Here is a 22,298-nt window from a genome sequence, read left to right as displayed (position 1 = left end):
TACTAGCTTCACCACCTGGGTCAGTCCCCTTGTCCCTGAGCCTGTGTCTTCACCAGCTCTACCCCACCCTAGGCTTGGGGTGAGGAAAGAAAGAAGGCAAGTAACACCTTGAAAACATACTGAGGCCAAGCATCTGCACACATCATCTCAGAGAAGGCTACCATGTGCCCCATGGGGTCTGTCCTATTATCAGTCCCATTTTACAGATGAGGAAGAGAAAGTCAGACAAAGTGATGCACCCACGGTCACACACCTGGTAATCAGCTGAATGGAGACAGAAGTGCGAGGTGTGAGCCACATGTTATTTTCTTAGGATTCACGGGGGACATGCATTCCTTGTCTCTATAAAAGCCAGTGTTTACTGAATACAGATTGTAGGTGAGCACCTCTCCCTGCCAGGCACTATGCAACCATCTGTGTCCATCTGAAAATGACCTTGTGAGGCAGGCATTCTCTTACCGTCCAATTTCAGAGATTAGGAAACTGAGGTTTGTAGAGATAACACAACTGGCCCAAATGTCACACATCCAGCTAGGCAGTGACATGTCCAGGATTTGGAGTCAGATCTGATGGACTCTAGAGCCACTGCTCATACACACTTGTCTGGGTGGAGGTTAGGAGGAGCCGGTAGCAGTGGAGCTCAGTGGTTCAATTGGCTCTGACAAGGGACACCCAGAAAAGGTCAAAAACAAGGTCACAACTGCCGTGGGGGGTTGGGGAGATGGCAACTGCTTTGAGGATGGGAGAGGGGCAGAGCCTGTAGGAGCCCCAGGTGAGGGTACAAGCTAGGGTCCTGGCTAGAGTGATCTGCTTGGTCTACCCAGAGCCCCCATACCAGGTAACACCAGCCCTGCCCTAGTGTGAGGATACTGAGGCTGACCCAAAAAGGGCCAGTGGAGCCCTGTCTTGTTGGTCCCCAGGGTTCTAACCTGTGCTCTGGGGCCAGTGTGCCTGGAACTAATCACCTCTCTAGAGCCCCTAGTGCTGTGGAAGGCGGGGCAGGATCCCCTCCCTCCCTCCTAGGCCCTGTGAGCCCAGAGGGAGGCCAGCATCAGAGGCAGGAAATGAAGAAGAATTTGCGATCTAATTGAGCTGGCGGGGGATTAGGCGGCAGAATGCAATTACAGGGGCTGGAGCGGGGCCAGGGCACTGACACCCCAAGATGTGGCCTGGCCCAGGTGACTTGGCCCAGTCAGTCTCTGGCCAGAGACACTAGACTTGGGGTTGGGAGTATGGGTACAGGGAAAGGTTGGGACCAGACTGCTTCTCAACATACAGAGGACTGTGGGGTTCCAGCTCCATGTAATACCCAGAAGCAAGAAGTTTTCCTGGGAATCCTCCCCCAGGGAACAAGCCTATGGACTCTCATCTGGGGATCTGGCAGCCAGACACACATGCTCTCACAGGCTCCGTTCATACATGTGCAAGCATGTGCTCACACTCCCAGGTAAGCCCCACATATCCACATTCACCTGCATAGGGGCAGGCTTCCCAGCATGGAGACACACAGGCTGGCCCTTTGCTGCCACTGGCTCCACCAAATGGTGGGTTGTGGGGGCACAACCCCCTCCCTCCAGAAAACCCACCCATGACCTTAAAATCCTTTTATTCCCGTAATCACATGCTACCATTGCCGTGGATACACGCTGTCACCCCAGCCCCAGCCTGTCTCCCTCTGCGGCTTCCAAAACTCCCAGCAGGCAGGCAGACGGGGAGGCTGCCCAGTTACTGCTGGGGAGGGAAGGGGTGTAGGGGTTGCAGGGGGAAGGACTGGGTGTGAGAGGTTCAGTTCTACACACACACACTCCATGCTACACACACATTCAGGGCCTCAAACAACCAGAGGGGGAGATTCAGTAAGACGGAGATACAGAAAGAGAAAGGAAAACATAGCCAGCCGCCACCACAGACAGAGAGAAACCACTGTCCATACAGCACAGACAGGCCCACTCCCACATTCACAATTCAGACACACTCTACTCAGAGTCAGATCCCCCAGATTTATAAGCATATACAAAGCACACAGATACACACAAATCACAAATCCAAACTCTCCAAAATTCCAAGCACACACAGCTCACAGAATATATTCATTCCCAGATTCACAGGGACATAGCCAATCTTCAGAAATACAATCTCAGATTCACAAACACACATGTACACATACACTACAGATCCACACACTTCTAGATCAGGACAAATATACATGCCCTGATTCATAAATCCATGTATGTTCAGACTCCCACACCCTGAGACAGACATTCAACACAGAGATTCACAGATATAGATACACTACTTAGAGACACACATGTCCTGAGTCATAAGCACACATCACCCAGATTCCCACATCCCAGAACAACAGACTAGTGCCCACACAGCCTCATCTCTGTCAGCTGACACTGCCTCTGGCTTTAGGGGGCAGGTGGAGGGTTGGAGATTCCTGGGTCTTTAGGGGGCAGTCCTTTCTCATTGCTCGAATCCAGGAAGGGTGGGCTCAGCGTTGGGGGGAGGTGAGGGGGAAGTAAGAGAAAGCAGAAAAAAACTTTAGTGGGATATTCTTGTTGGGCAGTAGCGCGTGAGTAACGGGGGAGGCTTTTTGTGGTCTGGTGAGTTCCAGCTATGAGTGAGAGTTTAACTATTAATACACTTAATCAAGGACACTTCACACACACATACACAGCCACACACACACACACACACACACACGCGCGCGCGCGCGCGCGCGCGCGCCGGCGGCTAGGATGGGACCAGGTGGTGGGGGTAAGAGAGGGAGAGCCCCAGAAAAAAGAAAAGAGGGAAAGCCCCAATCAGGGCCCCAGGGGGCGGGGAAACGGGGCGGAGCTTCTATCCTGGGCCTGCCTCCAGAGCTGGAGCAGTGATTCATTTGTGTACCACCAGAAGGGTGGGGTTTGATACACAGTAGGTGCTCAATACAAACATATTGGGCCAACAAATGAATAACATATAAAGAGTGGGCAATAGTAACGTAATAACAATGTGTGAACCCCCCCATTCTTGTTCAATTAGGGCATGCCCCAGAGCATCATGCTTGTTAATTCGGACTAAATGATCAAGCCACCAGACAGGGGCTCTAGGAACCCAGGCTTGGGTCTGGCTCACCCGTATTCCCTCATTCCTCCACCCTATCCTGCAACCTGGAAAGTCAGCCCAGCCCACATCCCTCTCTCCCTCCTAGCAAGACTCCCTCCACTCCATCCTCCCATAAACAACAAGGTGCAGTCAGTCCTGAAGAAGGCAGGGTATTTCATTCCCCTGGACTTGTTTCTTCACCCAGATACAAGCCTGCCCCCACACTCCTATGGGTCTCAGTTTCACATGTGCCAAATGAGTAGGAGGCAGGCAGAGCAGGAAAGGGGCAGCAAGAGTTGAGGGTCACAGTGGGAACCCATGGAACATGGGCCTGTGCTGGCCGGTGCCCTGGATGCAGAATCCTCCCCTCCCCTTCCCCCACCCACCCCAGCCCAGCCCAGCCCAGCCTAGCCCAGCTGGGTGGACATTCCAGGCCTCACGTGATAAAGACGAGGCCACTGGCCCTCGGGTAAGTCAACAGGCTCTGTCGCGGGAGAGATAGGAGGCCCTGGCCAGGGTCACCTGCTGAGCGGGGAAAACGGCCAGGACCAGATACACACATAAATAAGGCACCAACCCGACAGCCAGCCAGCCAAGGGTCTGTCTTCTGCAGAGGCTCACCTTGGAAAGGGAGGTGGCATGGAGAGGGAGGCCAAGGCTGACTAGGGGCGTCCCTGGGAGAGACCCAGCTACTGCGAGGATGAGGGGTAGGGGGGTTCTACCCAAGTTCCGGGGGCTGGCTGGGAACTCGGAGGCCAATCTCCTTCAGCTGTTCCCATCTCTTCCCAGGGCAAAAATCAAACCATCACCCCCTCTCCCTCCTCCCCAAGGAGAGGACAATTTCCGTTCTGGGAGGGGGGTGACAGCTGCAGAGCGGGCCACTCCCCACCCCCCCAAGCTCCAGCCTGACTCTCATCTAGGGAAACTGCTAAATCAACAATACGCAGTTACGGGTAGGTAGCCCGCCGGCCTGAGTTTCCCCGCACGGCTCTCAGAAAGGGGTTTAGAGGGGGCTTCGGTCTCAGTTCCCGGTTTTCTAGTGGCGGTTGGAAACCAAGGCACGGGCATCTTTCAGGAGGGGGATCAGGTGAAGCTTAGGCCAGTAGGTCCCCCAAGACGTCTAATTTAAATACTCCCAACTGCAAAGGACAGACGCCCCCCACCCCGCGGCCTGGGGCAGCTGAGGTGGAGCCGGGCGTTCAAATCGCGCTCCAAACAAGTCCGCAGCGACCGCGCTCGCAGCCCCCGCCAGGCGGCCCCAGCGGAAAACTTGAAAGGGACTCTGTTTGCCGGCGGCCCTGGGGCGGCTCCGGCGGGGGCGAGGGCCGAGCGATCTCACACACGCCCCCTCCCCAACGCTTCCAAAGAAAATGCGGGGGTGGGGGGGACAGGGCCCACCACAAATCCAAGGGCTCCAAACAGCGCCCGCCGCGCGAGGAAAGGTGGGGGTCAGGAGTCTGGTCCGCTGGTCACCCCCTTAGCTCCCCCCCCATCCGAAGGCGCGACTCTCAGACCACCCAAAGTCCAGGGGGCAAAGGAGGGCGCGGTTGCCAAACCTTCAGACCCCCGTCGCGGGAGACTTCAGGGAGCGGGTCTTTCCGAATGAGTCACTACAGAACCCCCCAAATTTACTGGTGCTTCCTTGCAGCCCGAGGCACCAGCCCAACTCCGCGCACCCCTTCAGATTCCCGGGGGGGAAAAAAGAACAAAAAGAGATCTTGCTCCCACTTTGGGCGTTTCAGCTCTTCTGACAGGTCCCGAAGGTGGCCCCCCATTTAAAAACCGGGGTCACTCGCTTTCCGTCGATCCTACAAATAAACAAAGCCAGGCGCACCCCGCGCTCCCCGCCGGAAAGCAGCCCATTCCGGGCGAGGACAACTTCCCCCAGCCAGAAAATTAACACATTCCTCTCGCGGCGGTTCAGCCCCTCACTCCGCTCCGGGGAAGCGAAGGGGAGGGGGGTCGGGCCGAACTTCATGGGTAAATTTGGGGCCAGTGCAGCGTGGCAGGCGCCGGGGACGTACGCCCCCCACAGTTCCGCAGCTAGAGGAACACCCCCATTCTCCCTCCCAGGCTCTGCACGCTGCGTGGCCCACGCGGGGCTCGGGAGACAGCTCAAAAGACTCCCCAAGGCTGGGAAAGGAGGGAGGGAGGGGCCGCGGGGCACCGTGGTGGTGGGGGAGATACTTTGATGGAAAAAAAAGGTCAAACTTCATCAGCCCGCCGGGCACCCCGCGGGCAGCGGGGGCGAGGAGCCGGAGGAAAAATGCAGAAGTAGCCGCCGCTTCTTCCAAGTGGTGGGGGAGGCTCAGCCACGCGTGGTCGAGGGCGCCCAGAGCAGTTAACGTCGCCCCTCAACACAGGGCTGCGAGCGGGGTCTGATGGGGGGAGTGCGCGCCAGAGATCTACAAGCAGCCGCCCCCGCAGGCTGAGCGCCCGCCCAACGCCAAGAGGTGAGGACCCCGGGCGCCCGCTGCCCCAGCGCCCGCGAACTGGAGTAGTGGGGGGGAGGGGGGCGGCACCCCGCAAGGAGCGTCCCAGCCCCACTCCACGGCGCCCAAGCCGCCGTCCCAGACCCTAAAACCCCTCTTTTTGTCTGAACTCAGTGATCTGCGACCGAGCATACTGCGGCTTAGGGAGGCTTGGGTATAGCAGCGGCCACCAAGCGATCACCGGCGCTAGGTCTCCCAGGCTCCGGGGCTCCGCGGCTTACGGTGCGGGCGCCCCCCGCCCCTCCCAAATACGGACCCCTCCTTCCCCGTCCCCGGCTCTCCGCACCTGAACTTCGGGGGAACCCGCGCAGCCAAACTTTCCGCCGACTTGCAGCGAACTCCGGCCCCGGCCGCGCACCGAACCCCGGGGGAGGAGAGGGAGGTAGGCGGGGAAGGGGAGGGGGCCGGCCTCCGGGGGGGGTCGAGGGAGGGCCGTGGCCCGACACCTACCGGCTCTCCGAGTCGTCCAAGCCGCCACCGCCGCCGTCGCCGCGAGGCCGAGGGGGAGGGGCGGGGCAGGGAGCTGCGCTCCGCTCTGGGCACCACCGCCGCGGTGCGCTCCGCTCCAGCCGCCAGCAGTGCCCGGGTCCGGAGCCCGAGTCGCGCCGCCGCGGCTGGCCCGAGGCGGGGAGGGGGGGGAGCCTGCAGCACCTGCCCCTCCTCCCCCTCCCCGCGGCCCAAATTAAAAAACAACAAAAAGCAACTAATCACCCCCGAGCTGAGCGCGGCTCGCGGGCGGAGGGCTCAGCGTGCGGCGCCCGGACTCAGCAGGCGGCGCGCATGGCTGGGCGCGGGCTGGGCAGGGCTGGGACGCGGGGCCCGGCTTCAGGGGATAAGGCTCTGCCGCTCTTCTCGCTCGGCTCGGGCGTCTGCTCTTGCCGCCAGTGCCGCCTCTGCTGCCGCCGCCTCTACATCCCCGCTCAGGCTCAGCCGCCTCTGCCGCCGCCGCCGCGCGCCCGCCCGGGCAGGAGCTATGAACGCTGCCCGGGGGCTGCCGGCAAAACCCGGACCGGACTCGCCGCTCCCTCCTCCCCCCAACCCCCTCCACCTCGGCTCCCCTCCCTCCTCCCGCCGCCTCCCTCCCAGCGCAGCTCGGGCCACTTGGACGCCGCGGGCTCTGAGGCCGGAGCTGCAGCCGCTGCGCCTCGAGCTCCCCGCGCCCTGACGCGGTCCACCCAGGCTCAGCTCCCTTGCGCGCCCCGTCTTCGCCTATTTCCCGCAACTTTACAAAAAAAAAAAAAAAAGGACGACCTCCCCGCTTTGGTGAGGCGGTCTGGGTTTAGAGACGCACCTCCGGGGAAATCTGCTATCTTTCTGCCCCCTCTAGAGCGGGGCCAGAAGCTTCGAGGACCGGGAGGGAGAATTTGGCCGCGCCCCCCAGCTCAGGTGCGCGGCGGGCCAGAGATTCCTAGTCGAGGGTCCTGGGAGGTAGACGCGTGTTCCAAGACCCCACCCTTCCAAGAGCTCCTTAATGGATTCAGTGGGCACTAGGGCCCCGGGAGAAAAGGGGCGGAGATTCCCGTTCCCATTTCTCAGGTGAGGAAACTGATCCGAGAAAGGATATTTTATCTCTCAGGCAGGCATCAGCCTCAACTCTTGAGTCCCGGGGCTAAAACGACTACGTACATTTGGTGCCCTGAGACCATGGCCTACGCACTCAAAACCCGAAACAATGCTTGGAACAGCAGCGCTCAATAGGTACTGATTGAAAGACAGAAGGAAAACTCAGCCTTGCCAGAGTAGGCGCCCAGTGGGGACAGAGTTGGGCCCGCATATCCCGCTTTCACTCCATCAGTGGCCTCCATATGCCCATCTTAGGCTAATTAATCCTGCTGCTGCAGATGTCTTCACCTCACGTACCCATGGTGCAAGCCCCGGGCTCATATAATCCCAACTGCATATAATCCCAAAGTGGAAGTTTTCTCCAATTCTTTGGGATTCGTGGGGGCGGATTTGTGCAAGGCCGACCTTCCTCTGCGAGGCGAAGAAAACGCAGTCCCCAGACCCAAGCAGGGGAGGGAGAGGGGGAGGGCGGTTGGGGAAGTCAGCCTAGGGTTAAACGTTACAGCCTGAGATCGATTGGGGCCCAGATAACAGGGAGTTAACTGTGGCGATCCGGGCGCCTGCAGCCACAGGCGCGGCCTCGGTGGGAGAAGCGAAACTGTCTCCCACCTCGCTGCTTCCTCTCCTCTGCTCTGCGCAGCCTGGCTGTCTCCGAGGCTGGCGCGAGGGCTTATGGAGCATGGATCTCCTGGCAGCAGCAGCTGGTGCCCACCTTCCACGCCTTCTATATGTGGCCTTGGGGCCTTGACCCAGCCGGGGTGGGGTGGGGGGAGGTGTCAAAGGGCAGAGCTCATCTGGAATGTGTTGCCTCTCTGCCACTCCTGATATCCAAGACCACACGAAGTGACCCCTCCCCAGACATCGTGGACACCTGCTCCCAACCAGTTCCTTCCGAATGCTGAGAAGTGGTCTCCCTTAACTACTATGCCAAGAAATGGCTCCCTTGGGGAGGCGTTTAGTCTCTCTCCTCCTTGCCAGCAGTCCTTTTAATGCCCCCCTCCAAACAAACATCCCATGTGAGTAAAAGTAAGGTGCTTGCTATGGAAACCGTTTTAAGACGCCCATCACCCCCAGAAGATCACTTCCAAACTGCTTAAAGATAGGTATGCTGGGCCTCAGTGTGAATGTCAGGCACTGTGTTGGGCACTGACCGTGCAAGGAAAAAGGAAGCAAAAGCCCAGGTGTAGGATCTCCAAGCATTTAACTCACCTCCATCTACCTTTTCTGGGGAAGCTGAGGCACAGACTGTGAGGGAGGACCTGCTCCCTGGGAGTCAGCAGCAGGTCTCAGAGGGTTAGGATCCATGAAGTCAAACTCTATTCCACAGATCTCCTGAAGCCTAACGCCAGTACAGAGTCAGGTCATGCACGCCCCACAAAAAGCTTTATGCTGGGGTCCATGGCAGAGGGTGGGTAGTAATTCTACTTTAGGGAACTGCTGACTATTACCCACTTTTTTTTCAGACTTATGCCTCCACCCCCACCCCCAACTCAGGCGGGAGGCCAGGGATCCACAGGCTGCAATGGAGGAAGGCCAGGTGGTCCCAGTGGTGATGGCTTCCTCAGGGAAGGGGTGTTGACTTGTCTGGCCCAGTTTAGGGGGTGGATCTTGGAGTTTTCCCTTGCTGGAAATTAACACCTTGGGAGGGAGACCTAGACTGTCACCTATCCAACCCATATGGGAGCCACAGAGGAAAAGGACAGAATTGTCCACACAGAAAGTGTTACAGAAACAGAAAATGTCATGTGCAAGCCATCCACAAAGAACTCTCCACCACAGATGCCAATGAGACAAGCGGGGGACATCCAGGAAGGATGGGGTGAGGATCTCTGCCCTTGGGTGAGACTGTCCCCACCACAGCCCCCTTCCCCAAGAAGAAGGGAAGCTTGGTTCACTATTCTCCCACCTCTGCCTACCTCAAAAAGGAGAATTGAAGTCTCACCTTGCTATTAAACTTTTTGCTGAGTTTTTTGAACCAATCAGCCTTCAAGTCAGGAAGAAGCTCCTTCAGTCTCCAGCACCGCTGGGGGAGATGGCCCCTGCATCACCAGCCTTGTCTTCTAGGGAGGGGTGCGTCCACCCGGGACCCTGGAGTGTGCTCTCCTGGATCCTGCTGATAATACCCATGGCTGGTATTTGTGCAGCCCTTACCCTGAGCAGGGCATTGTGCTAAACAGTTAAGGTACATTATCTTATTTAGCCCTTATAGCAGCCCCTGCAATAATGTCATCCCCATTATTCAGATGAGGAAACTGAAATGAGATTGGCATCAGAGCTGTTCTCAAACCCCTGAGGCCATGTGCTATTCTAGGGAGGCTTTCCACAGCCTCCAGTGAGGCTCATCTGCTTCACATCCTGCAGTGGTTCCTCACAGACTACCCTACTCAGCCTGGCTTCCCTAACTGACTCTCTTCCCTGCCAGGCCCTGCTGACCAATGCCATCTAACACTGGCAGTTCCCTCTGACACCCCAAGACTCCTCTCCAGATTTCCAGAGCTTTGCATGTACCATTCCCTCTGCCAAGATAGGCCTCATCAAGCTCACCTCATGAACTCCTCATGGAAGACCAGGAGCACATATCACCTGGGAACCATCTCAGACTGCCACTTCCAGCCTGAGTTTGGGCCATACCTACAGGGCCACCACTAGCCTTTGTGCAAATCAGAAAAAGGTACCCACTTTTGGCAGATACAGGAAACCATGAAGGAGGTCACAGACTGCCTTTCAGCTTCCTAGCTCCCTTTGCTAGGTGCCTTTTTGCAGTGCATGCACAGGACAGATGTACTCTGTGGCCTGGCTTTGGGTCCTTCATCTGGCTTTGGGACCCCTCCTATGGCCACAGTGACCACAATGCACAGAAATAGCTTTTATTTGCTCATCTCACTACTTGTCCCCTCGCCACCACCTCCCGCCATGAAAATTCTTTGAAGGTAAGGAGGAGTCCCCTACCTGCCTTGGGCCCGAAGCTTGGCCTCCAAAGAGGTACCAGTAATAACAATTGTAGCCAGAATCTTTCTGAGCTCTTGCTTGTCAGGGACCATGCTAATTGCTTTTTGAACATAGGCTTATTAAATCCACAGGCTTGGACACCTGTGTGAGGTTACAAAGTAGCAAAACCAGGATTTCAATCCATGCCTTGTCTGAGGCATTTTCCATGACTGCCATTTATCTGCTAATATCTGTCATTGATTAAACATCCAGTGACTGGAAATGGCCACATGGAGAGGAGTGTGGGAGTTAGGATCTCCAATAAAGATGGCCAATTTGGAACTCAGTCTAAGGTTTACCCTTCTTTGGGCCCCAGTTCTGTCACCTGTATCACAAAGGATGGGAGCAAAGGCATTTGAAACCCTGCCTGCTGGGGCAGGGCACAGGATAGTGTTCAGTGGGGTCATGCTGGACTGTGACCTCAGCCAAAATCCCAGGGCAGGCCTGGGGGTGCAAACACGGGCAGAGGCAGGGAGGAGCCTAACCGCACCAGACTGTGGCCCCGGGCCTTTGGGTCTGGGCCCTCACGCACTGACCACTGGACTTTAGGTCCTCCCCACCCCACCCCCATGACGTCTGAAGGAGCAGAGAGCTGTGAAATGAAAATTCAAAAAGCCAAGTCTCTCAAGTAACCCAGGCTTGCCCATTCCTGAGAAGTCAGTTTGGTGGCCAATGCCTGGCCTTGACCTGTGTAAACAGAGGGGAAGGGATGAGGACAGAAGGAAGACTCCAGTCCCAGAACAAAATGACTCTGGGGACAGAGGCTGAGAGAAAGCAGGAAGCAAGCTATATTTCCCATTGCCCAGGCACAGCTACATACACGCCATAGACAACCAGATACAGCCCTGTTCTCAGTGAGGCACAGGGAACTCAGCCTGTATATGGGATATTGATGGGGAGAGGGACAGTTTGGGGGCTGTTGTGCCCCTGACAATAACCCTTGGCTTCTCTAGACACAATCATGGTTCAACTCTGTCCTATGGGAGTGGGACTGAGTGCTCCCAGAGGCCAAAGCTGTGGCTCCAGCCTCCCTGCCACACTTCAGGAAGAGGGAGGGAGAGCATTGCTGAGAGGTGGGGAGGTAACTGAATGGGGCCTTAGGGGAGGCAGAGGCACAGTGTCCCAATCTGGAGCCCTGCACCTGGAGGAGGGGTGCCCTGGGCAGGAGAAGCCAGCCTGCCCTGAAAGTGCCCTGCCCGACCCAAAGCCTGAAGGCTAGGGTGTGGTGGTGTGGGGGAGGCCTGCTGGAGGAGGCAGGGTGGGGCTCAGCCTCCTCTCTACAAATCTGGTCCTGGAGGGCAGTGCAGGGTCAGAAATGGCCCGCACTGAGACTTCCGAAAATGGCCCAGCCTCTTTCTCTTCAGACCTGGGGCCCCAAGACCCCAGCTACCACCCCCTACTCTGCCCTTCCCTTCAGACTCCAAGGAATGGGGTGCTCAGACAGTGCTTGGGGGTGGGCCCGGGATGAACTGCTCTTTGAACTGGTGAGACTGGTTCTGTGTCTAGCCGCCTGGGCAGTCACGGGTTGCCTGCCAGGCCTGGGAGGAGGGAGGCCTCAAGAAAGGGCCCCTCGTAAATCGTTAACTCCCAGAGCCCAGCCGCCGCTGGGTGCCCTGGGCCCCACCCCCAGTCATGACTCTGGTCCTGAGAATGCCCATCCCAGCCCAGAAGTCAAAGGTTAGAGGTCAGAGCCAGACGTCCCAGCACCTGGGCAAGTCCTTCCCCCAGCTAGCAACAGGGAGGGGAGCAGGAGGGCTTTCTGTGGGGACGCTGCTTCCTTCGAATCCGGAAGCTTTTCATCCTCGTCTGCCATCCAGCCGTCTTGCATCCCTGCCCTTTGCCTCTCAGGAGAGGCAGGCCTCTGGGTGGGCTTCCTGGGGCAACCCCTGGGCAAGTCCCAATCCCACCAGTCCTTTCTCCTCCTGGAGATAATTATGCCAGACCCACTCACTCCACCTCAAAGGCGTCACCAGGACTAGAAGGTGAATGAGATGAGGAAAAGAACTAGATACTGTTCAGAATTGGGACAGGACCCTTTGTAGAGGCACTGTGTTAAGTGATCCCTTCACCAGCATGCTAGGTCATCTGTTTAGCAATCTCATTCCCACTTTGCAAATAAGTAAACTGAGGCTCTGAGAGGGGAATGACTGATTCACCCAGGCTATGGCGGCTGTACAGGAAAGAGCTTGGATTTGGTCCAGTTTTGTGCTATCAAGCTGAGCCTTGAATGGGGTTCAGCCCTCTCCTCAAATTCCTAAGCTACAGGTGTGAGGACACACCCTAAAGGCAGAATGGGCTGGACAACCCCTCTCTCCCACGGAAACACTGTCAGGGGCCCCTGAGATGGGGGCAGATGGGGGAGTGTATGTGGGCAGGAGACGGTCAATGCCCCCCCCACCTCTCCGAGCCCCTCCCCGAGGGCAACCCTCCCCCAGGTCACACCCCGCTAGGTGCCACGACAGAGGAGACTTGGTTGCTGTCCCCCACCCCACCCTCAAGAAAAATTCTCCAGACAGACTAATGAGGAGGATTGATGGTGCTACCACCCTTTTCACTAGGGAGGCATCTCAGAAGCCGAGGAGACGAGAAAAAACAACATCAACTTTTAATCGAGATTGCAGATTCAGAAAAGATTCATAAGTGAAATGATTCCCTAAGGAAATATAAAAAGTTACTTACGGCATTGCTAAATTGGGCATGCTTCAATCAGGGGCTGTTGAGAAATCATTAAGATCTACAAGACGATGTTTTAGATATATGTGAGCTCCGTCAGGAGGGCTGGCTATTGCTCCAGCTAGAGAGAGGGGATCTGGTCCTGAGCTGGCTGGCCTCCTGTGTCACCCACCTCAATCCAGGGGAAGGAGGAGAAAGTGAAGAGAATCCCTACCTGCCAGGCTCCAAAGGCCACTGCCCAGAGACTGCAACTGTGTCCAGAGGCCCAGAGACTACAGCAAGGGAGAGTGCAGCAGTGGGGCTGTGGTTAGATGGAACTGTTTATTGTTGGAAGTAACTTTTTTCCCTTTCAAATGGCCTAATGGGGAATGGTAGGGCTGTAACTATCTACTTCCCTTGAAATACTAAAGAGGGGACACCCCCTTCATATCCCCTGATCCCTTTCCCTGTTCCTTGAGTTGGCCTGAGGAAGTGGGCACCCTACTTGGAGACAGAATTACCAGAATACACTCTTAGACCTATGCCTGAGATCTTTGCTGGAGGGGTGAGGGATGGGGGAGATCACTCTGTTTGGTCACTCCCTCCAGGGAACACTAGGGGAGTGGACCATCCTAGGGAATGTTCTAGGATGATCACTAGCTTTTGAGGACATCTTCCCCTCCCCACTGCAGCCATTTTCTCAGGTGGAAGGCTTACCTGAGGCTCCACCTTCCGCTCTTGCTGCAGCCTGGGAGGGGTTTTTTTTCCTCAGGCCTAGGGACTTTCAGAGTCAGTCTGGGACATCAGTGAAACATGGGAGCGACAGGATCACAATGCATACTGATCTCTCCCTCTGTGCACTCCTGGGGCTCAGGAGAGGGATAAGGCCTTACCCATCTCCATGCTGTCCAGGGCCTGGTCCCAGTTGGTGCTAAATGTTTAGGGAAGGCATCGGGATGTGGCTGGACCAAGTCTGTTCCATGTCGGGGGGAAGGGCACAGGAAAAAGAGAGATGGACCAGGGCCTGCTGTGGGGGCTCTAGTGGCCACACCTGGATTCCTTTCCTTAGATCCATCTGCCTGGGTGAGCCCCCTCCTCCACCGCCAAATCATCTGGGAAGGCAAGAAACCCGAGCCGGATGGTGGTGGCCACACTGCCTTGCGGGTGACCCGAACCCGATCCCGGGCAGGTCCTAGCCAGGCCAAGGCGCTATTTTAAACCCCAGCCCCAAGCTGCCGCCTTAGCCCGCCAGGCCATCTCTGATTACAAAGCCACTGCCCACCTCCCAGTCACTTCTTCCTCCCTGCCCTGGGACCCCCTAGGCTGGTGCTGGGTTCAGTGTGTCTTGGGGCAGTCTGTCAACTGGCACCAATGCTCCTCTCCATCCCCCAGCCCTGTCCACTGAGGCACCCTCATTCCTCCCCACACACAGGGATCCATCGAGCTGTATTCTGACTGAGATTTCTCCCATGGATGAGTTATCTTCCCCAGGAATGAGGGCACACCCTGGCCAGAAAGCCTGCAATGCTGGGCCCAGTTTCTGCTGGGGTCAGAGCTTGCAGGCCATTATAGGGCTGATGCTATAGGAAGAAAAGAAGTAGGTTAGACAGATATAGGAACTTCCCGGCAGTGAGACTGTGCACTAGAGTGCTTTCCCTCCTGTCTTCCTGGGCAGGAAGAGGAAGAAAATGTCTCCAGAGGGAGCCCCCTCCCCAACCCCCTGGTTTAAAGGCTGTGAGTTAGGGGACTCTGTACCGTTTAGCCAACCCATAGTGCCTTCCTCCCTCCCACCTTCCTGGAGGGGACAGTTGCTCAGTGCTCAGGTGGCCCAGCTGTCAGCTGGTTGGGCCGGCAGGACCTGTGTCCATAATCCTCTCTCTTACTCGGCAGTAGCAGTAGCCCCCACTAGCTCTGCCAGCCCCAACACCAGCCCAAAACCGACCTAGAGGGAGGCAGCAGAGACACTGCCAGGGTGCCACGGGAAGGGAAAAGGCTGGTCATCCATGCTGGCTAACCCTATCTCAAGCTGACTAGATAGAAGGACACCTAGGCAGCCCAGTGCCCACTGACCGTGTCTGCTCCCCCGCCCCCATGACTCGTAGCCTCAGCAGTGAGGTGTTGGCACCAGGCCTGGCGCAGCTGAGCAGTGACGCCAACAGCCCTGCCATCTCAGGCAAGCATGGTTTGCTCCAACCTGGCAGTTGGGACCATGATGGGGGGGGGCATCTCCCACCCTTCTGGGCCCGAGACAGCAGGGGACAAGGCTGTTTTGGAAGGCCTCTCTCCCCTACTATGGCAGATCTTTGGCATCCCCATGGGAGTCCTCACCACTTCCTCCAGGGGACTGGTCCTGAGGTTAGACCAGTGGTTCTAAACTAGAGAACCTCCCAGGGAATGTTTGGCAATGTCTGGAGACATTTTTGGTTGTCACTACCATTACTGACATCCTACAATGCAAAAGATAAAGAATTAAATGGCCCAAAATGTCAATAGTGTGAAGTTGAGAAATCCCAGGTTAAACCCTGGAAGGAATTCCCTGACTGATCTGGGAGTATGGAAGGTAGCAGGAGGCATTCTCCATCCCCCACCACACATGCAGGGGCCAGGGCTCATCATCTCCCACCCCCACAGGCAGAGAAGGCCCTTCTGCCATTCTGACTTCCAAGGCCCTTTGTGGCCCTAGGAATGTGGTAAGCTGCCTGCCTGCACCCCCTACCCACACACCAGCCTCTGGGCTTATTAGAAAAGGTGTCCACGATGGAGGGCCTGGCAAAGCTCTTCACCTGCGTGTGGAGAGGGGCTCACAAGTCCCACCTCCAGGCATACTCTACAAAGCCCTCCCCACACGGGGATTTTAGGACTATGGAAAAGGGTAGGGGCTCTCCAGCCCCTCCAGGGGGCTGGTTGGAAGCTCTGGCCTCCTCCTCCTCCTCATCTGCCCACTGCCTTTCATTTCTATTTAGGAGGCAGCCATGGTGGCTCGGCTCCTGTCTCCGGTTTCCTAGGGAGCTCTGCTGAAGCAGCCCAGCCTCCGTGGGTCCATCTGTCAGGGAGGCTGTTCCGCCCCATCGATTGCTGTTCCCAGGGGGCTGTGCTGCTCGAGGGACCCAATGTGGCCGCCAGATAGGAGGGAACCACATGGATTAGAGACGGAGGAGGGGTCAGCTTGGCAGTAGGCAAAGCCAAGAGGGGCTGACAGTGCAGCAGGAAGGCACAAAGCTAGACAGGCATGAGAAATGCAGAGGGCCAGGGGCAGTGAGGCAGGAGGCTGGCTGGAACGACCTCTGAAGCTGGTTTGCACCCTCAGGATTCAGTTTTGCATTTAGACACACCAAGTTCCTACTTGCAGAGACAACAACAGTAATATTAGCAGCTGATATTTATTGAGCAGGAACAGTGTGCCCGGCACTGGGCTGGGCTTTGCACACCTCTTTCACTAGAGGACCACACCCACTCAAAGCAGGTGCTGTTATTCTCTAGCAGGAGAGAAAGGGGCTGAGAGAGGCTCTAGCACTTGCGGGTAGCCACACCGAAGAGCTGGAGCTAGACTTGGAAGCAGGTCAGCCTGGCCCATGGCTGTGCCCCAGCCCCAGGCGGGCAGAGCCAGGCCCTAGGGGGAGGAGGCAGTCTTGCCAGGCCTGAGGCCCAGCCTGTCCTCCCCGCGGAGCCGCCTCCTCCCCTGGGCTGCGTGACATCTGCCCCGCTTCCCGGCCCCAGACAGCTGCCCAGAGCCACGTCAGCACTTCCAACCGGGGAGTCTGGAAACTGGCTCAGGCCCCTGAGCGAGAAGGGGACAGGGGGCTGCGGGTCCTCCGACGGGATGGTTTTCAGAGGGTGACCCACTCAGCTGAGCAGGGAATGGGTCGGCATGACCTTGGGCCGAGCTTCTATGAACCTCAGTTTCCCGTGCTCGGGTGTGTGTTTGGCTTTGCGAAGTGCTCAGAAAGACGGTAGCATCCTGGGTGGAGGAGGCGCAAATAATCCCACACAGCAACAGTTCCAGGACACCCGGGGCAGCCTGCGGACTCCCCCCGACGCCCCCCCAACCCGTCCACTCGGGGACAAGTGGTTATTAGGTGGGGCTCAGGAGGGTGAGGGTGGGGGGCGAGGTGGTGTCTGTGCCGGGAGCCCAGTCCCAGCACACCGGCCGGCTGGGGCCAGAGATAACCGGCGCCTCCCGGAAAATCATTAGCATCTGTTTGGGCCGCGGCAAAGTTGGCCTGCTGGCGCCTCCGCCCGCCGGAAACAGCCCCGCGCCCCCACCAGGGCAAGCGCAGGGCGCACCCGACACAGCGTCCCTCCCCATACCCGGCCCAGCTTAAACTCCTGTGGTGACAACATCCACCAGCGCTGGGAAGGGGGCTTGGGTGCAGAGGCCTAGGGCGGGCAGGCCGGCAGACTGGGGTCGGGCCACGCCATCGGGGGCTTCCTCGCGCGGTGTGGGCGGTCCAGCCCGAGCTCCGGGCGATCCAGGCCGGCTCTTCGAGGCGCCCGCGCTGGCGGCAGCCCAGGGAGTGTGTGGAAATGACACCGCCAGGGCGGCGGAGATCCCCCCTCCTGACATTGGCTGGAAAGTGGAGCAGCTCGTCAGGGACAATCAATGGCGATCGATCGCCGCGCGGCGCGGGCGGACGGTGCGGGGGAGGGGCGGCGGGGCCGGCAGGGGTGGGGGCACCCGCGGCCGAGGTCAAACAACACACTGACCCGCAAAGGGGCACAGCGGCTGAGGGGGGGGGGGGTGTCACACGGACACACAATTTGTGAAAGGAAGCACCACCATAGGCCACCCACACCACAAAGGAGGCACGCTCACCACACGGAGTGACACCACAACAGTCTCTGACACAAGTCAGAACAGGACACAACAGGGTCAGACACACCTAATGATACAACATACAGTCACACTATTCACAACCAGTTCACCATACCACAACAGATGTCCCTACACTAGACACCTACAATATCACCGGGACACAAAATGAGTCATATAGTAGCTGGTCTCAACCACACAGCAGTAGGGAGTTACATACTTTGGGTGCACAACAGTCACACAACAAAGCAAAAAAGTCATATAGTCATATCATCCATCACCACTACCTCAAAGAACATTGTCAAATTAGGTCTCTACGTTGTACAACACAATGGTGCCCATACTGGCAAAAGGATGGGACCAGGAGCCCAAGTATAGAATATGACAGGGGCAAATGCTGCCATAAGTTGCACCCCAGTAACTAAGAGAGGGATAAAGCTGTTTTGCATCTTCCAACTTGAATAAAATTATACCCCACCCAACATGGCACAATAAACAAACACCAGGCAAACCAGCATGAACTTGCAGGGTTCTGACAGGACTAAATGAGCCACTGCAGGTGAGGTGCTTAGCACAGCACCAGGCACATGGTAAGCACTCGACACACAGGTGGTCTTGGTCATTGCTAATGGTTCTATACTACTAAGTCATGTGTATATAATAATGACTGTAACTACTTAGCATCATTCTCTCCATGTTAGTCCAGTCCCTTCCAGGAACCTGATTCACCCCAGCAGCAAAACTAGTTCTGCCATCACATACACCTGGGAAACACAACTCAAGTGTTACAAACACAATTCACGGTGCTGCACTCACCCACAGAGAGGCCACATTCTCACTTCCCCCAGTATACAACCACACCCACCCCAGAATCCCCTCCACAGGGGGAGCAGGCTGTGCTCATGCAGCTGAAAGCTCTGGCTCAGAGACCTTGGTGGGGAAACCACCCCTAATCTCTCACCAGGTGCAACCCAACTAGTGTGCACTGCTACTGGCCCCATTTCCTGCCACTCTCAGAAAGCTGTAGAACACAAAGCACTTCCCTCCTAAAGGTCACCCACCTAGTTACAAAGGGACCCAGAGCCTCCCAAATAAACTCCTTAAGGACTATCCCTTGTCAGTCCCCCTTTCCATTTCTCCATTTCCCCCTAGAGAAGCTGAAGCACCAGTTTCAGTCCCCAGAAAGGCTCTCCCCATTCCAAATCCAAAGCAGGAAACAGGGCTGGCCCCAGAGCTCAGCAATCTCCCCACTCCCATTCCCAGTGGTGCATGTGTGTGGGAACAGGGCCAAGATTCATCAGTCCTTCAGCACACCCTTAAAGGCCACTCCTGTGGTTCCAGTGCAAGGCCAGCTGGGCTGTAGCCCTCACTTCCTCAGTTCAGGCCTGGGCCCACCCAAGGGCTTCCAGGAAATCTCTTGTAGCCAGGGAGCTCCCCCTAAAGGTCCTGTCTAGAATGACTCCCCACATTCCCTAGTTTTGCCTGGCTGTGTGACCTTTGTTAATTCCCCAACCTCTCTGTGCCCAGATCCCAAGTCCTGCCCACAGATCCAAGACACCCTTCAACCCCCTCACAGAGGCTCTCTTTGACTAGGGAGAGAGGTGTGGGCCTGTGACCTAGAATGTGGAGAGGAAAGATGCTGGCTGTAGGTGCCACAATCACCCAGTCATTTATCCCTCTCCCTTCCCCTTCAAACAGAGCTGGGAAACAGCTGGGGGAGATCTGGCCTCCTTCCACAGCATACCCCTCCTCCGTGGCTGGAGGCAAATCCTCCCCCAACCCCAGGCTTTTATTCACCAGGCAGGACAACTGGATTCCCTTTTGTCCCCCAAGGTAAGGGGAAGGACAGACAGACACTGGGCAAGGACACACAGTCTGGCTAGCCATGGCCATTATTCTGCCTGCTCACCCTGTTTGTGGGCACACTCTTGCAGGCCTTAACAAGTGGGCATGTGAGCCATAGGCTGCAAAAGGGCCCAGCCAGTCTTCCCCAGGTCCCTGGATGTCCCAGGAGCTAGCCCAGCTCAAAGGAGGGCAAACCTCTAGCATGTACAGGAATCCAAGAAAGATGTCTCACTGTCCAGGCCTACCTCCCTGAACCATAAGCACCCACGGTCACAACCCTTTAATTTGATAAGGTCATTTTCCACCAAGCATTGCCTATGGGTCAGGCTGGTGACCAAGTGCCCGTTTTCTAGATGAGAAAATCAAAGCAAAAGACAGATAAGTTTATTGCCCAACTGAAAACCCATGGTCTTGTGATTCAAACCCAGATCTGATCCTGTTCTTCAAAGGCTACAGAGCCTTCGTGTTTATGCATCACACCCTGATGCATAAACACTAAGGAGTGTACATGCTCACAATTCTCACTCTCAAGCTCCTGAACACATGTGCAGTCCCCTTCTGCACACACACATACAGGCTGGCCTAAGCTCTCCCATGCCTGGGGCCTGTCAGCCACATTCTCCATGGCTCCCTCCTTCTAACAGGGACAGGGACAGGCAGGGAATCTAAATTCCCGGGTTTCCGCCCTGACCCTGACCCCACTCCTTTCCCACTCAGAGAACACATACCTCCTGCTACAGCCAGAAAACCAGCCCCAGAGGGAGGCCTGGGGGAGAATAAGCAATTCTGGGGGCCAACTGCCTAAGCTCCAGTTATTTGCCTGGGTTTGACATAATAGGAAGTCAGCAGCTTTCCCTGCAGGTAGCTCCCACCCTCTAGCGAGGCTAGACCCAAGGCTTCCCTCCTTATTCCAGAAACTTTCTTAGTTGAGATTCCTTTGGATCCAGCAAAATCCCTCACATGATTAGGCACTACAGCAGGACTCGTGGAGCTCTCAATACACCGTTCTCCTTAGAGTCTATCAGTAGGCAAAAGCTTAGGTTCTAGGTACCAACAGCACCCAGGCAGCTTTCCCCATCTAGGGGCAGTGGTAGCTAATTCTCACAGCCCTGCCTGGGGCTCCCAAATAAACTCCTTGACCTGGGAATTTAGATTCCCTGCCTGCCCCTGTCCCTGTTAGAAGGAGGGAGCCATGGAGAATGTGGCTGACAGGCCCCAGGCATGGGGGGCTCAGCCACTTGGTGGGCTCAGCAAATCTGGAACATTTGCATATCCAGATGGCCAAGCCTTGAATTTCAAAGATTTCCCCATGAAGAGGCAGCTGGCTTCCGGGTGGTGGCCCTGGACGCTCACACCTGTTGGGCTGGAAGACTGAGGAGACCAGGGCCCCAAAATACAAGATAAACTTGAAACAGACAAGAACATTTCCCAGGCCCTATCACTAGCCCCCAACTCTGCTCCTTCTGTCCCCAGGCCTCCATCTTCAAGGTCTAAGGAGCCATGTGCTGGTTGCCCAGGGTAGGTGGGCAGGCAAGTGATAATGGACTGCTGCCTCTGTGACCTGCTAGAAATATGGGATCTCCTTGTTCACATGCAGCAATAGACAGATCTTTTCCTGCATGTAACCTGGAGCTAGGTGGGCAGAGGTCCTAACCTGGAGCCTGGTTCACCTATTCACACACAGAGACATGGCTGCCATAGCAACGGGGAGGGCAGAGGGGAGCTGGCAGCTTGACACTTCCAGTAGGCTTTGGGCTGAAATACAAGTCACTAACCTTTTCCTTCACTGTAAGGCTGAGAACCTGACTGAACTTGGCACTGGCCCATCTGATTCTGGATATACCACGCACAAAGCTTAAGTCCGAAAGAATCTCCCCACTCCAACAAAAGCCCCTCTCAGGTTGTGCCCATGCAGATTCACTGACCACACGCCTCACGGTTGTCACAGCTATGGGTCACCACTGCCCTCTGCTGGCCACTCAAGGCACTAGCATCCACTCAGACACCAAAGCCATCATCTCACTCCCCACATAAGCAAACACACTTCAGTCATCACCTCCATCTGTGGGCACTGAAATGCAACTCCATTCAGCCGTCCTCTGAGCCAGGGGGCTGACAGGAGACAGGAAGAACAGGGACCACCTCAGGGACACAATGTATTAAGGAAGAAATCACAAAGGAATTCTGCTCCCTCCAATATACATCTGAAACTTCAAAAGGAAGTGCCCCCCGCCCTTTTTTTTTTTTTTTGAGTCAGAGTTTCTCTCTTGTTGCCCAGGCTGGATGCAATGGCGCGATCTCGGATCTCGGTTCACTGCAACCTCCACATCCCCGGTTCAAGAGATTTTCCTGCCTCAGCCTCCCAAGTATCTGGGATTACAGGCATGCACCACCACGCCTGGCTAATTTTGTATTTTTAGTAGAGACGGGGTTTCTCCATGTTGCTCAGGCTGGTCTTGAACTCCTGACCTCAGGTGATCCACCTACCTCGGCCTCCCAAAGTGCTGGGATTACAGGCGTGAGCCACCACGCCTGGCTGGAACTGCCTTTTTATGAAGCTTGGAGGTTGAATCCAGGAAACAGTACCTGCCCTATAACTTGTTATGCACCAGAGCCTCCCCAACTTGCCTTGTTTCCTCCAAAGGAGGACTAAGCTGAGGTCACTTGGAACCATCCTTCCAAAAAGCTCACCTTCTCTGGCAAGTTTGGGAAAGCCTTGGTTTCCCTTGTTCCTTCTGTCACTCTGCAGCAGGTGACTGAAAGTCTCAGGTGCCCTCTCAAACGAGGCCAGCTCCCCTCGACTCTCTGTGCAACACATGACAGGTAGCCACACCTTCCAAGATGGCAGTGATGCTGGC

General features: G+C 56.4%; 1 protein-coding gene and 1 long non-coding RNA gene across 9 annotated transcripts in view, besides 14 other annotated features; one reads left to right on the top strand and one right to left on the bottom strand.

The window, feature by feature from the left end:
* CXXC5 (CXXC finger protein 5) overlaps positions 1-7,579 on the bottom strand; it is a 36,584-nt gene extending 29,005 nt beyond the window's left edge. For 3 of the 8 annotated variants that reach the window (NM_001317203.2, NM_001317204.2, NM_001317200.2), the window contains exon 1: positions 5,869-5,927. The gene's annotated coding sequence lies outside the window, so the exon portion shown is untranslated. Of the gene's footprint in view, positions 1-3,711; positions 3,890-5,868; positions 5,928-6,032; positions 6,530-6,873; positions 6,975-7,442 lie in introns of those variants that run through there. The other 5 variants (NM_001317199.2, NM_016463.9, NM_001317201.2 and 2 more) reach the window with 4 other exon arrangements.
* Positions 12-61: an enhancer, noted in NCBI's record as "active region_23246". NCBI's record gives its function as "activates an Ori minimal core promoter by ATAC-STARR-seq in GM12878 lymphoblastoid cells {active_cell/tissue: GM12878}" and the evidence as "EXISTENCE:reporter gene assay evidence [ECO:0000049][PMID:35858748]".
* Positions 1,982-2,031: a silencer, noted in NCBI's record as "silent region_16421". NCBI's record gives its function as "represses an Ori minimal core promoter by ATAC-STARR-seq in GM12878 lymphoblastoid cells {active_cell/tissue: GM12878}" and the evidence as "EXISTENCE:reporter gene assay evidence [ECO:0000049][PMID:35858748]".
* Positions 3,809-4,309: an enhancer, noted in NCBI's record as "H3K4me1 hESC enhancer chr5:139030154-139030654 (GRCh37/hg19 assembly coordinates)". NCBI's record gives its function as "activates a minimal SCP1, AML or CMV promoter by ChIP-STARR-seq in primed H9 embryonic stem cells {active_cell/tissue: H9 hESC(primed)}" and the evidence as "EXISTENCE:reporter gene assay evidence [ECO:0000049][PMID:30033119]".
* Positions 5,102-5,271: a silencer, noted in NCBI's record as "silent region_16420". NCBI's record gives its function as "represses an Ori minimal core promoter by ATAC-STARR-seq in GM12878 lymphoblastoid cells {active_cell/tissue: GM12878}" and the evidence as "EXISTENCE:reporter gene assay evidence [ECO:0000049][PMID:35858748]".
* On the top strand, positions 5,150-5,879 carry CXXC5-AS1 (CXXC5 antisense RNA 1). The gene is made up of 2 exons (NR_149086.1): positions 5,150-5,543; positions 5,697-5,879. It is a non-coding gene; the product is annotated as a CXXC5 antisense RNA 1 (long non-coding RNA).
* Positions 5,472-6,601: a silencer, noted in NCBI's record as "silent region_16419". NCBI's record gives its function as "represses an Ori minimal core promoter by ATAC-STARR-seq in GM12878 lymphoblastoid cells {active_cell/tissue: GM12878}" and the evidence as "EXISTENCE:reporter gene assay evidence [ECO:0000049][PMID:35858748]".
* Positions 15,915-16,481: an enhancer, noted in NCBI's record as "H3K27ac-H3K4me1 hESC enhancer chr5:139017982-139018548 (GRCh37/hg19 assembly coordinates)". NCBI's record gives its function as "activates a minimal SCP1, AML or CMV promoter by ChIP-STARR-seq in primed H9 embryonic stem cells {active_cell/tissue: H9 hESC(primed)}" and the evidence as "EXISTENCE:reporter gene assay evidence [ECO:0000049][PMID:30033119]".
* Positions 15,915-16,500: a biological region, named in NCBI's record as "H3K27ac-H3K4me1 hESC enhancer GRCh37_chr5:139017982-139018548".
* Positions 16,451-16,500: a silencer, noted in NCBI's record as "silent region_16418". NCBI's record gives its function as "represses an Ori minimal core promoter by ATAC-STARR-seq in GM12878 lymphoblastoid cells {active_cell/tissue: GM12878}" and the evidence as "EXISTENCE:reporter gene assay evidence [ECO:0000049][PMID:35858748]".
* Positions 16,951-17,370: a silencer, noted in NCBI's record as "silent region_16417". NCBI's record gives its function as "represses an Ori minimal core promoter by ATAC-STARR-seq in GM12878 lymphoblastoid cells {active_cell/tissue: GM12878}" and the evidence as "EXISTENCE:reporter gene assay evidence [ECO:0000049][PMID:35858748]".
* Positions 17,620-17,914: a silencer, noted in NCBI's record as "tiled region #4362; HepG2 Repressive DNase unmatched - State 2:TssF". NCBI's record gives its function as "represses a minimal TATA promoter and a strong SV40 promoter by Sharpr-MPRA in HepG2 cells {active_cell/tissue: HepG2}" and the evidence as "EXISTENCE:reporter gene assay evidence [ECO:0000049][PMID:27701403]".
* Positions 18,361-18,580: a silencer, noted in NCBI's record as "silent region_16416". NCBI's record gives its function as "represses an Ori minimal core promoter by ATAC-STARR-seq in GM12878 lymphoblastoid cells {active_cell/tissue: GM12878}" and the evidence as "EXISTENCE:reporter gene assay evidence [ECO:0000049][PMID:35858748]".
* Positions 18,361-19,225: a biological region, named in NCBI's record as "CRISPRi-validated cis-regulatory element chr5.3240". NCBI's record gives its function as "regulatory_interactions: CYSTM1 | UBE2D2".
* Positions 18,390-19,225: a transcriptional cis regulatory region, noted in NCBI's record as "candidate enhancer chr5.3240 targeted for multiplex CRISPR interference". NCBI's record gives its function as "positively regulates CYSTM1 and UBE2D2 gene expression with high confidence in K562 cells {active_cell/tissue: K562}" and the evidence as "EXISTENCE:mutant phenotype evidence [ECO:0000015][PMID:30612741]".
* Positions 21,260-21,554: an enhancer, noted in NCBI's record as "tiled region #3558; K562 Activating DNase unmatched - State 25:Art". NCBI's record gives its function as "activates a minimal TATA promoter and a strong SV40 promoter by Sharpr-MPRA in K562 cells {active_cell/tissue: K562}" and the evidence as "EXISTENCE:reporter gene assay evidence [ECO:0000049][PMID:27701403]".

Source organism: Homo sapiens, chromosome 5 (genome assembly GCF_000001405.40).
Source record: "Homo sapiens chromosome 5, GRCh38.p14 Primary Assembly".
Lineage (NCBI taxonomy): Eukaryota > Metazoa > Chordata > Mammalia > Primates > Hominidae > Homo > Homo sapiens.
Note: the sequence above shows the minus strand (reverse complement) of the source record. Positions and strands in the feature narration are given on the sequence as shown.